The 12574-nt window shown below is 50.6% G+C and overlaps 2 protein-coding genes and 1 long non-coding RNA gene across 9 annotated transcripts in view, besides 3 other annotated features; 1 reads left to right on the top strand and 2 right to left on the bottom strand.

The window, feature by feature from the left end:
* The window catches only part of LARP4B (La ribonucleoprotein 4B), a 181428-nt gene that overhangs the window by 44424 nt on the left and 124430 nt on the right, over nucleotides 1–12574 (top strand). For 4 of the 7 annotated variants that reach the window (NM_001351277.2, NM_015155.3, XM_047424901.1 and 1 more), the window contains exon 1: nucleotides 12213–12490. The gene's annotated coding sequence lies outside the window, so the exon portion shown is untranslated. Of the gene's footprint in view, nucleotides 1–8900; nucleotides 9058–12212; nucleotides 12491–12574 lie in introns of those variants that run through there. The other 3 variants (XM_047424897.1, XM_047424894.1, XM_047424893.1) reach the window with 1 other exon arrangement.
* Nucleotides 190–691: an enhancer, noted in NCBI's record as "H3K4me1 hESC enhancer chr10:989167-989668 (GRCh37/hg19 assembly coordinates)". NCBI's record gives its function as "activates a minimal SCP1, AML or CMV promoter by ChIP-STARR-seq in naive H9 embryonic stem cells {active_cell/tissue: H9 hESC(naive)}" and the evidence as "EXISTENCE:reporter gene assay evidence [ECO:0000049][PMID:30033119]".
* LARP4B-DT (LARP4B divergent transcript) lies at nucleotides 1175–10892 on the bottom strand. Its single transcript, NR_120629.1, has 3 exons — nucleotides 10803–10892; nucleotides 1679–1731; nucleotides 1175–1438 (listed from the first exon to the last, which is right to left on the bottom strand). It is a non-coding gene; the product is annotated as an LARP4B divergent transcript (long non-coding RNA).
* LOC124902363 (keratinocyte proline-rich protein-like) lies at nucleotides 7829–11927 on the bottom strand. Its single transcript, XM_047426111.1, has 2 exons — nucleotides 10803–11927; nucleotides 7829–9082 (listed from the first exon to the last, which is right to left on the bottom strand). Exon 1 carries the CDS (start codon nucleotides 11789–11791, stop codon nucleotides 11087–11089), a length of 705 nt encoding a protein of 234 aa, XP_047282067.1. The 5' UTR covers nucleotides 11792–11927; the 3' UTR covers nucleotides 7829–9082; nucleotides 10803–11086.
* Nucleotides 11633–11722: a silencer, noted in NCBI's record as "silent region_2063". NCBI's record gives its function as "represses an Ori minimal core promoter by ATAC-STARR-seq in GM12878 lymphoblastoid cells {active_cell/tissue: GM12878}" and the evidence as "EXISTENCE:reporter gene assay evidence [ECO:0000049][PMID:35858748]".
* Nucleotides 11803–12512: a silencer, noted in NCBI's record as "silent region_2062". NCBI's record gives its function as "represses an Ori minimal core promoter by ATAC-STARR-seq in GM12878 lymphoblastoid cells {active_cell/tissue: GM12878}" and the evidence as "EXISTENCE:reporter gene assay evidence [ECO:0000049][PMID:35858748]".

Here is a 12574-nt window from a genome sequence, read left to right as displayed (position 1 = left end):
CTTCAATGGTGCCTGTATCAGGTGCTGGGGATAAAGCAGCGGCTCTGATGTTGTGGAGCTTACGTGGACACCACCAAGAAAGCTGCGAAGTAGACACAATTACCCCGGAAATGCCGCTGCACTCCCCGGGCCCTCCCGACCCGGGCCCTCCTGACCTGGGCCCCCCTGCACCTTCCCTCCACTCCATCACCCTCGCCGCTCACTGCTTCCTTCACAACCTTGTTTTAAAAATACTTTATAATGTCAGTCTTAGCTCACCCAATCACCTCTTGGAAAAAGAATTCAACAGAAATCATAACCACTCAGAATGGAGGCTGAAAACTGGCCCTATGTGGTGGCACATGCCTGTGGTCCCAGCTACTCAAAAGGATGAGGTGGGAGGATCATCTGGGCCCAGGAGGTTGAGGCTGCCGTGAGCCATGATCGCACCACTGCACTCCCGCCTGGGTGACAGAGTGAGGCCCTGTCTCGAAAAGACAAAATGAAACACAACAAAAAACCCTGGCCCCAGGTCATCCTCCTGCTATGTTCAAATGCTTGCTGTCCTGTGAAGAGGCTCCATGTGCATCCCACAGATGGATGGAGGTGACAGGAGGAGGGAGGCTGCTGAAGTCCCAGAATAACACACAGCAGGCAAAGTGCCCATCTGTGGTTTCAGAAAGGACTTGTGAGGCCAGGTGCGGTGGCTCATGCCTGTAATCCCAGCACTTTGGAAGGCCGAGGTAGGCAGATCACCTGAGGTCAGGAGTTCAAGACCAACCTGGGCAACATGACGAAACCCTGTCTCTGCTAAAATTACAAAAATCAGCCAGGGGTGGTGGTGTGTGCCTGTAATCCCAGCTACTTGGGAGGCCAAGGCAGGAGAATCTCTTGAACCCAGGAGGCAGAAGCTGCAGTGAGCCGAGACCATGCCACTGCACTCCAGCCTGGGTGACAGAGTGAGACTCTGTCTCAAAAAAAAAAAAAAAAAAAGAAGTCAGCTTGGACTGTGATCATCTGAAAGCTGGAGTGAGGCTGGAGGGCCCAGTTCCAAAAGGCCTCCTTGGCTGTGGGCTCCTCTCCATGTGGGCCTCTCCCAGGGGTGCAGGGAGGCCTAAGATATGTCAGCTGGCTCCCCTCAGAGTGAGATTTCCAGGAGAGGGAAGTTCTTTTCTTATCTCATGGAATCACAAAATTATCAGAATTTTCCATATTTATTATGATCTTCCTGTATGGGTTCCCCACTGATTCAAAGCTGAATATGAGTGACACTTCTAGCATGGGACTGTGGGTGGGGGTGGAGGGACGCACATCCAAACCACATCAGTGGCATATCAGTATCTTTCTTTCTAAAAGTGAGATATATTAACTCATCGTGTGGTACACTTTGCAGAGGCTGTTCCATTGGAAAGAGAACCGACTTCCAGGACAGAGGTTCTTCTGATCTTTGGGCTTGAGTCTGTGCAAATAGGACATTCGTAAAAGAAGATCCTGGTTAAAATAAATTATTTTAGGGAAATGCATCTGACTCCGGAGAAAAAACTTAGGGGAGAGGAGGAACATGGAATCTGGTGTTGGAACCAGTGAGGGATCGGGATCCTGGGAAGGTCACGCAATCAGGCAGCTTCAATCCCTTCTCTGCCCTCATCTTCCGGTTCCCTACAACACCCCCATATTCTTTGACAGAATTATTTCTCACCTCTTCCATTCCTGAGCTGTCTCCATCATGGACTTCTTGTAATAAATCTAGATCTAAACAGGCAAGGGAAAAATAGAAATAGCTAACAAACATGAAAATGTGCTCAAATGACCTTCTTAACATAGGGAATATAAATTAAGGCAAAAATAGATACCTTGGGGAATTTCGAACAGTGGAGAATGTGATTAGAATGTTTCTGAACAGTGGCACATTTGTTCACCTCAAAATTTCAACCAATGTATACTTCTCTAGGTATAGTTCAAGATATACATAATGCAGATTTTTAAAAAAATGTACTGAGCCATACATGCTAGTTTGAGCCTATAATCCCAGGTACTTAGGAGGCTGAGGTGGGAGGATCGCTTGAGCCCAGGAGTTAGAGGCTGCAGGGAGCTATGATCACACCACTGCACTCCAGTCTAGGTGACAGGCTGAGGCCCTGTCTCAAACAAAACAAAACAAAACAAACAAACAAAAAAAGACAAAAAATAAAAAATAAAAAAATAACTGAAATAACAATATAGCACAACAAAAGCATTGCTCTTCTGGTAAACAGGCCATGGAACCCCAGATCACCATAGCACCAGGTGGAATTGCAATCGCTTAAAAAGCAAGATCAGGCCGGGTGCAGTGGCTCGCGCCTGTAATCCCAGCACTTGGGAGGCCAAGGCGGGCGGATCACCTGAGGTTAGGAGTTCAAGACTAGACTGGCCAACATGGTGAGACACCCCCCGCCCATCTCTACCAAAAATACAAAAATTAGCCAGGCATGGTGGCAGGCGCCTGTAATCCCAGCTACTCAGGAGGCTGAGGAAGGAGAATCGCTTGAACCCAGGAGCAGAGGTTGCAGTGAGCCGAGATCATGCCACTGCACTCCAGCCTGGGCGACAAGAGTGAAACTCCGTCTCAAAACAAACAAACAAACAAACAAAACAAAGTAAGCTCATGGGGAATTGGGACTCTCCCTGATTAGCTGGTCTTAAATGGGGGTTGGAGAAGGACTTCCATGAACACAATAGGTGACAACTCTGAAGAGGAGGAAGAGCAGGCTGAGTCCCCAGCACCCACAGGTGGGAGTGGGCAATGAAGTGGACACTGGCAAATGTCCGTCCTCCTCCAAGCACCTGCCTCAAGCATTTTTACAGACCCCATTGTTTCTCCACCCTATCGGTCCACCCTCATCTTCAGCAAACAACCTGACCTCCTCGTCCACAAAACTGAAGTCCGGGGCTCTGAGCTCCTGTCCGTCTTAGAGGAAGTGGGTCCCATGTCCTGGCCAACACTCACCTCTCCAGCTGAGTCTGTGATTTTGCCAAATCAAGATTTTAAGTCCCAACTTTCCATCCAACATTCTCTGCAGTGTTTAGGTCAACCTCTGCTTCTCACCTGCATACAGTAATTTCTATGTGAAACATCTTTTCAAAGTCTCGCAGTGGCCTCCTGGACACAGTCTGGCATTGACCGGCCACCCCAGGATGAGACTAGCTCACACCTCTCCTGCGCTCCCGCACTTCTCCCGTCATGCCTTCTGGTCCAAATGGTTCCATTTTGTCTCTTTCTTATGTACCCCACAAATGCCCGTGCTATTTTTCTGTTTCAAAAACTTTCTTTCCACTGTGGGAAACATGTCAGTCCTTGTTCCTCTAATGCTGCTGGGCTCTTCATGCCCACTTCAGGCACTGGGGCCTCCTCTGGGCAGGCGCCCCCCTCCCCCCGCCACGTTCCTGGCCCAAGACGAGCCTGGCTAACATGGCAAAACGCTGTTTCTACTAAAAATACAAAAATTAGCTGGGCGTGATGGCTCATGCCTGCAATCCCAGCACTTTGGGAGGCCAAGGTGGGAGGATCACTTGAGGTCAGGAGTTTGAGACCAGCCTGGCCAACATGGTGAAACCTCATCTCTGCTAAAAATATAAAAATTAAGCCCGCGCATGGTGGCTCATGCCTGTAATCCCAGCACTTTGGGAGGCCAAGGCAGGCGGATTACCTGAGGTCAAGAGTTTGAGACCAGCCTGACCAATATGGAGAAACCCCGTCCCTACTAAAAATACAAAATTAGCCGGGCGTGGTGGTGCATGCCTGTAATCCCAGCTACTCGGGAGGCTGAGGCAGGAGAATCGCTTGAACCCGGGAGGTGGATGTTGCGGTGAGCCGAGATCGCACCATTGCACTCCAGCCTGGGCAACAAGAGTGAAACTCCGTCTCAAAAAAAAAAAAAAAAAAAAAATTAGCCGGGCGTGGTGGCACATGCCAGTAATCCCAGCTACTCAGGAGGCTGAGGCACGAGAACCGCTTGAACCTGGGAGGTGGAGGTTGCAGTGAGCTGAGATCACACCACTGCGCACTTTAGCCTGGGCGACAGAGCAAGACTCTGTCTCAAAATAAATAAAAATAAAAAGTCAAGTCTCCATATATGTTGGATTAAAAACAATGTCCACTTTGCCAGTTCTCCAGGTGCTTATGAAGTCTGGTTCTCAGCCTCTTCCTGAAACATCCAATCCTCAACTGGGGAGTCTTTCCCAAATCTCATGTCTCATCAACTCATTCCTCTTCTTTATGAGTGCTAAGGCCAGGCAAGTCATCAAGGTGCAAGTGCAGCCTTTTCTCAGGCCTAGAAGATAATTTTATGCCTATGTGTAGACGGGTGCTGTGTAGGTTAAACACCCCAGCAGATTTCTGCAAGAAATCACATGAATACAAGCTGCAGTCCCAGACATCTTAGGCCAGAGTGGTGTTAGTTTCAAAGGAAACACACATCCAACTTCAGGAAGCCGTTTCAGGGCAGCCTAGGCCTTTAATGTGGGCTTCTGCAAAGGCTGTAGCCCTAGAGAGTTATAAAATACATCACAGCAGAGTTTCTCATCTCCCCCTAGAGAGGGTCTTTCCAAAATTACATGTTCCTGCAGACCCTAAACCTCCTAACAGGCCTCACCCTTGCGGTTCCTTCATCCCTGGCTGCTCCCTCCTGTGCCATCCCCTCCCGCCAAGCCTGCACCCTCCTCGCCTGAGCGGGACTCCTTCATTCAACTCCACTGCAGCCTCCCTGGCTTCCCAGGCTGGGAGACCCAGAGCTCTTTCCTACAGCCAGGAAGGGTGGAGTCCTCTCTGACTGCTTTTTGAGCCATACGCTGTCATGGAATGTCTATGACGAATTAAAATCCTTCATCTCATTACTATGTTTTTATTGCCATAGGGAATTTAAAACATGCGAAAGCAGGGAGAAGAGTGTCAGGAACCCTGCCTGTACCCATCACACCCAGCTTCAACAATTTTCACCACGCCACTTGTCCATTATTTCTCACCTGTCTCTACCAACTGCTTCCTCTTTAGATTATTGAGAAGAAAATCCTAAACATAATACCATGGCATTCATAAATAACTGCAGAATGTGTCTCTACAAGATAACTCTCTATTTTGAAGAATTACAAGTTTACAGACAAATTGCAGCCACTTATATATCCTACCCTCGGATTTACCAATTAAGGTTTTGTCATGTTCTCTGAGAGAGAGAGATGTATATATAGACATATACATACAGACACACACATTCATATGTGTGTGTATATTTCACTAAACTTTTTGAGAGAAACTTGCAGATATCTTAACCCCTCACCCCTAAATAATTCATTGCTATCTCCTAAGATAAAAGACATTCTCTTACACAGCCATAAAACAATGAACCAATTCGGCCGGGCGCGGTGGCTCACGCCTGTAATCCCAGCACTTTGGGAGGCCGAGGCGGGCGGATCACAAGAGCAGGAGATCAAGCCTATCCTGGCTAACACGGTGAAACCCTGTCTTTACTAAAAAATACAACAAAAATTAGCCGGGCGTGGTGTTGGGCACCTGTAGTCCCAGCTACTCGGGAGGCTGAGGCAGGAGAATGGCGTGAACCCGGGAGGCGGAGCTTGTAGTGAGCCCAAATCACACCACTGCACTCCAGCCTGGGTGACAGAGCGAGACTCCGTCTCCAAAAAAAAAAAAAAAGAAAAAGAACCAATTCAAGAAATTTAGCCTTGGTTAGAAGACTGACACACAGTCCATATTCAAATCCCAAACTGGCCGTAGTGGCTCACACCTGTAATCCCAGCACTTTGGGAGGCTGAGGCAGGCAGATCACTTGAGTCCAGGAGTTCGAGACCAGCCTGGACAACATGAAGAAACCCTGTCTACTAAAAATACAAAAAGTTAGCCAGGTGTGGTGGTGCGTGCCTGTAGTCCCAGCTACTCAGGAGGCTGAGGCACGAGAATCGCTTGAACCCGGGAGGTGGAGGTTGTAGTGAGCCGAGATCACGCCACTGCACTCCAGCCTGGGAGACAGAGCAAGACTCCGTCTCAAAATAAATAAATAAATAAAAATAAATAAAATAAAATAAAATCCAGTAATGTTAATCACAGCGAATGTTTCCTCTGACCTCGGAGCTAATCTAGGTTTGCCCATGTCATGCTTGACTTCTCTCCTTAGTCTCCTATAATTTGGAAAACTTCCTGAAGTGTTCATTGTCTTTTATGACCTTGACATTTTTAAAGATTATGGGTCATTTGCAGAATGTCCTTCGAGTTTGTCTGATTGTTCCTCGTGATAAGTTTGTGAATTTTAGCCGGAATACCATATAACTGAGGCAGACACATAGTGGTGTGGGGGAGGGGGGGTCAGGCCGCCATTATTAGTGATGCTAACATTGATTACTTGATTCAGATGGGGTCTAACATATTTGTTCACTGTAAAAATACTCCTTTCCCTTTGAAATTAATAAGCAACAAGCAATTAATAAGCTTTGAGGTGGTGTACATAATCTATATCCTCAACAGAGTTTCACCCAATGATTTTAGCATTCATTTGTGATTCCTGCCAGAATTCTGGTGGTTACAAGATAGTGATTTTTAAAATAATTCTGGCCAGGTGTGGTGGCTCACATCTGTAATCCCAGCATTTTGGGAGGTCGAAGTAAGCGGATTGCTTCAGCCCAGGAGTTCGAGACCAGCCTGAGCAACATGATGAAACCTCGTCTCTACAAAAAATGCAAAAATTAGCTGGGCATGGTGGCGCATGCCTGTAGTCCTAGCTACTTGGGAAGCTGAGGCGGGAGGATCACTAGAGCCCAGGAGGTCGAGACTGCAGTGAGCTGGGATTGCGCCACTGCACTCCAGCCTGGGCGACAGAGCAAGACCCTGTCTCCAAAAATAAAAATAAAAAAATCTCTTCTTCATATATTAATCAGCATTTTACTGTAAAGAAGAGCTTTCTTTTTTCCTTCCTCAATGCTACTATTTTTTACTTACCCACTCACGTATATTTCTTAGTATCTGTAAAAGCTCATGCGTTCTTTTTTACTCACAGTATTCAAATGTATTACCACCATTCTTCATTTTAATACTTCCACCTAATTTGCCTAGGCCAGTTCCTTATTGTGTTTCTATTGGAGTGGCTTTTGTGGCTGGAGATACTCCACAGCAAAACCTTCTAAGGGTCTTTCTTGCCTCATAGTAAATCTGGTTTTTTGTTGTTTTTTGGGGGGCGGACAGTTTCACTCTTGTTGCCCAGACTGGAGTGCAATGGCACGATCTCGCTCACTGCAACCTCAGCCTCCTGGGTTTAAGCAATTCTTCTGCCTCAGCCTCACGAGTAGCTGGGACTACAGGCGACCGCCACCACGCCCAGCTAATTTTTTTGTATTTTTGCTAGAGACAGGTGTTTCACCATGTTGGCCAGGCTGGTCTCGAACTCCTGACATTAGATGATACACCCGCCTCGGCCTCCCAACATGCTGGGATTATAGGTTTGAGCTACTGTGTCTGGCCTGCCTCGTAGTAAATCGTGACTCACTGCCTCCTTCTTCCCACCTGTGTCCTTCTCGTGGATGGTTTGTCTCTGGCCCCGGCTTAGTCATCATTTTCTGGTTCCTTCTTAAGTTGGCTTGGACCCCGCTTGTGAGCCACCCAAGCACTCTACACAGCCTCACCTCACCCTCCATCCCTCATCCTCACCCTCCATCCCTCGTTACCTGCTTCTCATCTGTGATGCTCCCCTGATCTCTGCAACATTAGCAGTCCCTGAGACCGCGTAGGTACTCAGTGAATATTTGTTTAATCAATGGGCAAAGGAATAGTCCTAAATCATCAAAAATGAATTTTTGAGCAATGCGGCTACACATTGGAGAAGTAGTGTTTATTTTTTCACAGAAAATGCTTCGGGATAAAATAAAAGAATGTTCACCTGTAATCCCAGCATTTTTGGGAGGCGGAGGCAGGTAGATTACTTGAGGTCAGGAGTTCGAGACCAGCCTGACCAACATGGTGAAACCCTGACTCTACTAAAAACAAAAAACAAACAAAAAAAAAAAACAACAAAAATTAGCTGGGCATCATGGTGCATCCCTGTAATCCCAGCTACTCGGGAGGCTGAGGCAGGAGAATCACTTGAACTCGGTAGGCGCAGGTTGCAGTGAGCCAAGATTGTGCCACTGCACTCCAGCCTGGGAGACAGAGGGAGACTCAAAAAAAAAAAAAAAAAAAAGAAAAGAAAAGAAAAAAGAAAAAGAAAAGAATGTTCTCAGACACCACTTGAAATGTAGGCCTCTGCTAGAGAAATACACATGCTGTATTTGTTTGGTAGAGACTTTGTCCCAAGATCACTGCCCTCGCTGCCTCTGCCCTTGAGGCCTGACCATTTCTTTGGGATGACAGTAGTGTCAGCTGAAAATTGTATGATGTGATGTAGCTCAACAGAGCTACAAACAAGTGCTAATAATAGGGCCCAGAAGGAAAATCAACTGTCTAAAACACTTCAGTGGTTGACATTTGGGCTGTAACTTGAAAAATAAGCGAGATTCCGCCAGAAGGAGACATCCAAGTACAGGAAGCACATTTGAGGCCAGGGGACTCACATCCATTAGGACCTAAGTGCTCAGGCTCCAAAAGAATGCCGCCCTCGACTTCCAGAGCAGCGCAGCGTCTGGAGCTGGGGCACCTCTCCATTTCTTTGTATAGGACTGTCCACACTATGAACTGTGGACTTACCTGTCAACTGTGCAGTCTGGAGTGTAAAGTCTGTATTTTATTCAAGTGTAGACTCATCAACTCCCTCAATACCTTCAAAAATGCTCGGAAAGTGAGTGTGATTGGAAGGTAAGGATGTCTTAGGATAAGGCAGGAAAGGAAACACAGGGGGCTGGGCTGAAGACAGGCTGGGACTAGCGTGTGAAGGGTCTTCTTTCCACAGGAGAACTTGGACTTTATCCTCCTGGGCAGGCAACGGGGAGCCGGTGAAGGTCGCATTGCAGGAGGATGGTGATGAAGCTTTTTAAGGAAACATGTGCTGGCACTGTGAGTAATGGACTGTAGCAGAGACCAACCGCGACGCCACTGAATCAAACCAGGTGAGCAGTAACAACGGCAAAACCACTGGGGGGACGGGGAGAAGGAAAGAGTTTTTAGGTAGGATTGACAGAATTTGTAACCACTTGACATGGGAAATGAGGGAGTGTATCTGATCATGGTTTGAGAAATTTATACTAAAGTTTTAAAAAACTGATCTTGTCTAAGGAGAGATGCCATGAAAATGTATTTCATGTTATAACCTCACATCTCAAGGTGAAAATGGATGTTTCTTCTGAGACACAGGTTTGAAAAAAAGAAGATCATGAGGGAACAAAAAGCCCAGTTCTGATTGTTGGAAAGGATTACACAATACGAAGAGAAAGAAGAGATGGAATTCTTTTAGTTTTAGTTTTTTTCTTTTTCTTTTTTTGAGACAGGGTCTCGCTCTGTCACCCAGGCTGGAATGCGGTGGCACAATCACAGCTCACTGCAGCCTCAACCTCAAGCGATCCTCCCACCTCAGCCTCCTGAGTAGCTGGAACCACAGCCATGCACCACATGCCCGGCTACTTTTGTATAATTTTTTAAAGAAATGGGGCTTTGACATATTGCCCAGACTGGTCTTGAACTCTTGGCCTTGGGCGATCTGCCTGCCTTGGCCTCCTAAAGTGCTGGGATTACAGGCATGAGCCACTGAACCCATCCCATTACTTTCTTTTGTAATAGGTAAGACATAGATGTCTGCTGGAATGTAGACATAGACAAAAAAGATTGAAGTTTAACCTACCAGCCGGGAACGGTGGCTCACGCCTGTAATCCCAGCACTTAGGGAGGCTGAGGCAGGCGGATCACGAGGTCAGGAGATCAAGACCATTCTGGCTAACACGGTGAAACCCCATCTCTACTAAAAATACAAAAAATTAGCTGGGCGTGGTGGCATGCGGCTGTAGTCTCAGCTACTCCGGAGGCTGAGGCAGGAGAATCACTTGAACCCGGGAGACTGAGGTTGCAGTGAGCCGAGATTATGCCACGGCACTCCAGCCGGGGTGACAGAGGGAGAGTCAGTCTCAAAAAAAAAAAAAAGTTTAACCTACCAATTTTGGGGCAGAATTCCTAGACTTATACCACATCAATGGCCCTAGCAATGTTATGAACCAAGAGTAAGCTCCTGTAGGTTATCCGTGGAGGTAAAGGAACCAGGCACCTAAGCAAGGACACTATGGCCTACTGGTCAGGGCAGGTTGTCCAGGTAAGCAAGTTTTCTGAAATATGTACATGCTTTTAATATTAAAGGAAATGTGTCTTATGTCGTTAAATGTTCTTTAAAAACATTACTATGAATATAATTATTTAACTTGCAAATTCCCTTAAAGCTAGGATGCAACAAGGTTTCACAAAGAAGGCACCCAACCTTGATGTCAACAGTCTACCCACTATGGGAAGCCGGAGAGGCTTTCTTCCAAAATGCAGAATTGTCAGCATTTGAACGCTGAGTACGAAAAATTATAAGCACAGGCTGGGTACACCGGCTCCCATCTCTAATCCCAGATTTTGGGGGCCCGAGACAGCACTCTGAGCTCAGAGTGCAGACCTGCATAGAGCAAGACCCTGTATCAAAAAACAAAATTAAAAAAGCAGTTGTAAGCACAGGTACACGGTTAACCATGAATATGGTATCCCTGAAAAGCCGTTTTAATGGGGGAACAAACCTAAAATTTGGAATAATTGATAATATGTGTATATGTAGCCAATCAGAGCAGAAACCAGAAAATCAGGCAGCAAGCTTAAGGGAAACGCAACATACTTTGTTTGGTTTCCTTTTCTTCCATAAACTGATCAGGGGTAGGTAGAGTATGCTGCTATAGTTCGGAGTCGTCACCATCCTCACGGAAACGGCAGGAGTGTGAACACCTCCCTGAGCTACCAAGAGCATCTGACTCGTTGCAACGTGGGCCCGAACCCAGCGCCTCTAGGAAACGTGGGGCCGGGGCCTTTTGGTCCCGGGTGTGGGTTGGGGGTTTGGGGAAGGGCCGGGGCCTTGATCCCAGGTGTGGGGTTGGGGATTCCGGGGCTGAGCCGAGGCCTTGGTTAGGGGTGTGGGGCGGGGGTTCGGGGCAGTGCCGGGGCCTTGGTCCCGGGTGTGGGGTTGGGACTTCGGGGCCGGGACCTTCGTCTCAGGTGTGGGGCGGGAGTTCGGGACAGGGCTGGGGCCTGGGTCCCTGGTGGGGCGTTCGGGGCAGTGCCGGGGCCTTGGTCCCGGGTGTGGGGTGGGAGTTTGGGGCAGGGCCGGGGCCTGGGTCCCGGGTGGGGCGTTCGGGGCAGGGCCGGGGCCTTGGTCCCGGGTGTGGGGTGGGAGTTTGGGGCAGGGCCGGGGCCTGGGTCCCCGGTGGGGCCTTCGGGGCAGGGCCGGGGCCTTGGTCCCGGGTGTGGGGTGGGAGTTCTGGGCAGGGCCGGGGCCTTGGTCCCGGGTGTGGGGTGGGAGTTCTGGGCAGGGCCGGGGCCTTGGTCCCGGGGGTGGGGTGAGGGGTTCGGGGCAGGGCCGGGGCCTTGGTCCCGGGTGTGGGGTGGGAGTTCGGGGCAGGGCCGGGGCCTGGGTCCCGGGTGTGGGGTGAGGTGTTCCGGGCAGGGCCGGGACCTTGATCCCAGCTGTGGGGTGGGAGTTCGGGGAAGGGCCAGGGCGTGTCCTGGGTGGCCAGGGTCGGGGCCTGGGTCCTGGGGGTGGGATGAGGGGTTCGGGGCAGGGCCGGGGCCTTGGTCCAGGGTCTGGGGACAGGCTAGGGCCGGGGTCGCCATCCGTCCTGGGCGGCGGGCAGGGGTCTTTAAGGGGCGCACGCGGTGGCGGAGGACCAGGGCCCAGCCCTCCGGAAGTCAGGGCCCACACGGCCCCCCAGCGTCAGGCGCTCCGGTCGCGCCGGGGACGGCGGGCGGGGCGGGCGGGGCGGGCGGGGCGGACGTGCGGCGTGCGCGGGGCGGGGCGATGTGCGCGCACGCGCCAATCGCAAGGCCGCGAGCAGGGTGTACGCGCGGAGAGGCCAAGAAGGCGGCGGGGCGGGCCGAGCGTCGGGTGCGCCCAATCAGCGCGCCGCAACACCATGACGTGAGGCTCTCCCGGGGCTGAGCGCCAGTCCGCGGGACCGGCGGGTGAGTGCGCGAGTTCAGGGCGCGAGGCGCGGGTCCGCGCGGGGGCGGGACTTCCGCAGGGCCCCGGAAGTGGGAGCTGTGTGTTCTCATGCGAACGGGAAGGAGCGTTGGGGATCTGGAGTCCCGGGGTTGAGACATTTTCGGGCCCGAAAGGGGAAGAATCCGCCGCCGCCGCCGCCGCCAGCTCGCGCCCGCCCTCTCCCCTACCTCCGGCCCGGCCCGGCCCGGCCGCGCCGCCTCTCCCTGCCGTCTCTCTCCTCGCCGTCCCCGCGTGTGGCGCGGCCGCCGGGCCCCGGGGTTGAGGCGAGGAGCCCGCGGGCGGCCGGTCGGGCGGGGCGGCGGCGCTGACAGGTGAGGCACCCTGGGCCGCGGCGGGCCGTCCCTCCCGGCCCAGCTCGGACCCGCGCCGCGCCGCCTGTCACTGCGCCGCCATCT

Source organism: Homo sapiens, chromosome 10 (assembly GCF_000001405.40).
Source record: "Homo sapiens chromosome 10, GRCh38.p14 Primary Assembly".
NCBI classification, from domain to species: Eukaryota; Metazoa; Chordata; class Mammalia; order Primates; family Hominidae; genus Homo; species Homo sapiens.
This window is presented reverse-complemented; position numbering and strand designations above follow the sequence as displayed.